A 4287-nucleotide genomic window follows, 5' to 3' on the forward strand; every position below is an offset into this window, starting at 1 on the left:
ATCATGCCACCGCACTCCAGTCTGGGCGACAGAGCAAGACCAAGAAAGAAAAAAAGAAAGGAAAGAAAGAAAGCAAAGAAAGAAAGAGAGAGAGAGAGAAGAAAGAAAGACAGAGAGAGGAACGAAGGAAGGAAGGAAGGAAGGAAGGAAGGAAGGAAGGAAGGAAGGAAGGAAGGAAGGAAAAAGAGAAACTCTACATCAGAATCTTGGGATGTATTTACCAATTTTGGAATTAATGATTGCACAACCTAGTCATTAGTTCACTAAACTCCATACCCTTGCTCACACTGTCCCTTCTGCCTGGAATGTCTTTATTCTACACATCCCTCCCCACCGACCTTCTTGTGAATAACGTCTCTTCATTCCTTATAATTGAGCACAGGAGTTGAAGCCTTTGATCCCACACCTCATGCTGGATTAGGTATTCCCGGTATGTGCTTCCATAAAACCATGCATCCAACTTTAACCCTGCTCTTACCACACTGAATAGTTTTCTGCTTTAAGCCTCTGTCTCCCCTGTGTGCTGCACCAGACCTCAAAACTTCAGTCCAGGTTTCAGGGCCAGCAAAAGACATAGGATGTTCAGAATAAAGGTACAATTGAGTAAGCAGATGCAGCTCCGTGGTACCTTATTTATTACATGCAAGGTGCACCTGGAATGACACAGACCCTGCACCTCCCAGAGTTGAGAAGCCCTGCAAGCCATAGAGCTCAGAACCACAGGCTTAGTCTAGGTGAGTACTCAAGAGGTTGGGTGCCTCATACCAGGCAAGGCACATGCACCACCACTGTCCCCTCCGTCCTCAGTTTTGGGACCAGAGAGCAAGCCTCTCAGCTATCCTATCATTGGCCAACCACCTCCAGGGGACAACTGCAGGTCCAGTCCTCCTTAGCACAGGCTCATTTTGCAAAGGAGCTTCCCACACCTGCTTCCAGGGAAGAGGGACACACTCTCCTTAGCATCGGATCCTTCTGTTGCTTAGTTGGATGCAGCCTAGATTACATCACCAGGGCCACCTTTGTGCCTGTTGCACTAGCAATAGGCTCAGGCCTCTTTCCAAAGCCAGGGCTCAGTTTGTGACTAACATGCTAAGCACCCCTGCTGTCATGGAAGGCTTTGCATGAGTCTGGGAGCATGTCCTAGGCTCTAGTGCTAGTGGGCAATTCTCACCAGCACTGCATTAGCTGCTGGGTGCCTGCCTAGAAGTACTGCTAGTTCTTGGAGAGGGACGGTCATAACTGTGGGGGTCCCTACCTCGAACATACCCATGGAATGAGGTGGTGGTGAGAGGACCCCTGGGATTTCAGAGAATGGTTGTGACAATGTTCAGGCAGGGGCTGGGTCACTGTTACCACTAGCACCTGGGCTCAGGCTTCTGTCCCCCATGGGACATGAGCCATATTCTCCCCTTTCCAAACTTGCTCCAAATGTATCTGTGTTTTGGTTCTGTTGGGCGCTGGCCTAGTTAGTGCCAGTCTCAGAAAGGAACCTGGTTGTGGCAATAGGTGCACCTCAGATCTCTCCCAAAATATCCATGTGCATTGGGGCACAGAGCCCAGTTGTCACTGATGACCGTGGCACAGCAGGCCTTCACAGTGGCTGAGAGAGCTCACATGCTGTCCACTCTTCCCACTCTCCACCAGGGCACAAGTCATTGTGCCAACCTTCTGACTCCAAATCAACTGCAGCAGGCAATAAACAGCTGGTTCAGCATCATAGACAGGAAAGAATGACAACTAGGATTTAGATTGCTTTTATTGTTGTTTACCTTCAAACCAGTAACGAGGCTGTGCAACAGATATGGTTGTACATAACCATCAATTAAGTGGCTTCACCCCCACTGGCTTGCCAGGTGCTCACAGGAGTGCCCCAATTAGGAGTCTTGGGTGAGCACAAGACGTCACTAGGCATGAACTTCATGGGCGGTTCATGAACTTGCCTTTGAAACGTTAACCGGGCACTCCAGGCTCTACCTACAACCAGAGGAGGCAATTTTGAGTTGTGCTCATCAGACCTACAGAAAGGTTGGCCCTGGCCAGACACGCCTCTCTATCCTTTGAGTTTCTTGGAGGAAGGAGAACCATGTCTTGTGTATCTACATCTGCAGTGCCTGACACTGAAGCAAGCCTATAGGAGGCCCCAGGAAATATCTCTTGATCAATTGGATAGACTGACTGACTTTCAGCTCCACACGCTAGGGTGAGTGAACATTTCTCAGAGACGAAATGTTTGGTCGGATAGTCTGGAGGGGTTTCTTCTTTATTCTAACACTGCCAGTTCTCAGCAATGTAGGGATGGAAGTCTGAGCTTTCTCACAGCTCCAGCAGGGCTGCAGAGAACTGGGAAAGGAACATCTGTGTCCTGAACTGGGGCTACTGCCAGGGCAACAGAGCCAAATAGCAGGAGAGGGACAGCGACAGATGGGCGAGGGGGCTGCAGAAGCCTCATGTAGACTACATGAGAGATAATGAATGCACCAAACTTTGTCCTTCTTTTCACATAACACTGAAATATCAACCAACTAAGTGAGGCCATAAGTCTACGGTATTGGTATAAGATTCACAGAAAATAATAAAAATAAGGATAATGTGACTTTTTTCACCAAGTTAATTATATCCTTTTAAACAAATTACTTAATGTAGGGATATGTATTTTTTAATTTTATCTATTTGGGGGGTATTTTTTATGACATTATGGTGATAGTGGATTTTTCTTCCTTTTTAATGTCTTTAGTTAACAGAAGTTTGCAACTTTTAACCAATTTCTCAATTGTTTGTCTGTTTTAATTTTACTCATCTGCGATTTCTGAAAGTTTGGGAACCACTGACACAACCTTTTTTGTAGATGTTGTTTTAAAATCCCTGTCTTTGTCTTTTGTGTTGCTCTAACAGAATGGCTGAGACTTGATAATTTATGAAGAAATGAGATTTATTTAGCTCATGGTTCTGCAGGCTGGGAAGTTCAACAAGCATGGCATTGGCATCTGCTCGGCTTCTGCTGAGAGCTATTGTTGCTGGGTCAATACATGGCGGGAGGCCAAAGGGGAAGCAAATACATGTGAAGAGGTAACATCTGAGGGGTGCCCTGGCTTTATAACAACCTACTCTTGTAGGAGCATTCCCACAAGAGCTCATCCAGTCTCTTGAAAGTGTGAACTCACTCCCTATTGTGAGAAGGGCATCAAGCCATTCATGAGAAATACTCCCAAGACCCAAACACCTCCCACTGGACCCCACCACCCACCACCACCACAATGGGAGTCCAATTCAACATTAGTTTTGGTAGGGACAAACTGAAACCACAGCAATCCCTAACAATATTTGAAGTTCTTTTGTGAACTTCCGACAAGGTTTTCATCACCAGCTTCAAGGCCTAGTAAGTGCTGAGTATATTTTAACCATATTTCAAGCCCATAAGTTACCTCTGAGCTCATACATGTATGTCTAACTATCTTTCTGACATCCTCAGAGGCACCTCACAATTATAATGTTCCAAACTGAACTCATGACCCCCAGTGCCCCACCGCTTTCTCCCCCAGATTCCATGTATTTGTAAATGAAAATATTGTCACTTGGTTGCACAAGCTGGAAACCTTGGAGTCTTCATTGCTCTGCACATCCAACTCATTGCCAAAATAGATAATTTATATTTTATATAAAATTCTAATTCATATTCTTTATAATTTTAAAATCTAATACTCAATTTTTAGAAAAACACAACAATAATGGCCATATACCAGGGAAAAAAGGGGACATATGGGGACCTCCTCTTTTGGCTTTGGAGTCCCCCTCACTCTGTCTCTGTATGGGGGAGATTTTCCTTCTGTCTTCTCCCTTCCTTCTTGCCTATTATACTCTCCGTTCCTTAAAACAAAACAGAAAAAAAAGGGGGGGACATAACTTTTTAAAATCTTGGCTTTTGATAGGAATAATGATCTCCACTTTTTTGAGTGTGTGTGCTCTTAGGTTAGAAAATCCTGGGGTGTAAAATAAGAAAGCCAGCAAATAACCTTGTTTCAATATTTTTCTCACTACCTAGACTGGAAGAGGCAGAGTACTTCTCCTAAGTTCAAACATCAGGTTAGTGGGGGCCAGTGCTAGAAGCCAGATCTCTGGTTCCCAATCACACCTCTTTTTCAAGCTCCATATTGTATTTCAAATTTGTTATTTATGTAAGATGATTTGCGGTGGGATGAATGAGGTCATAAGAGATTTTAGAGCCCCCTTTCAATACTTGTTTTTCCTTAATAACATGCTTTCCAAAATTCAGCAACTGACATCAATTGA

The sequence above is a fragment of the Homo sapiens genome, chromosome 8 (assembly GCF_000001405.40).
Source record: "Homo sapiens chromosome 8, GRCh38.p14 Primary Assembly".
NCBI lineage: Eukaryota > Metazoa > Chordata > Mammalia > Primates > Hominidae > Homo > Homo sapiens.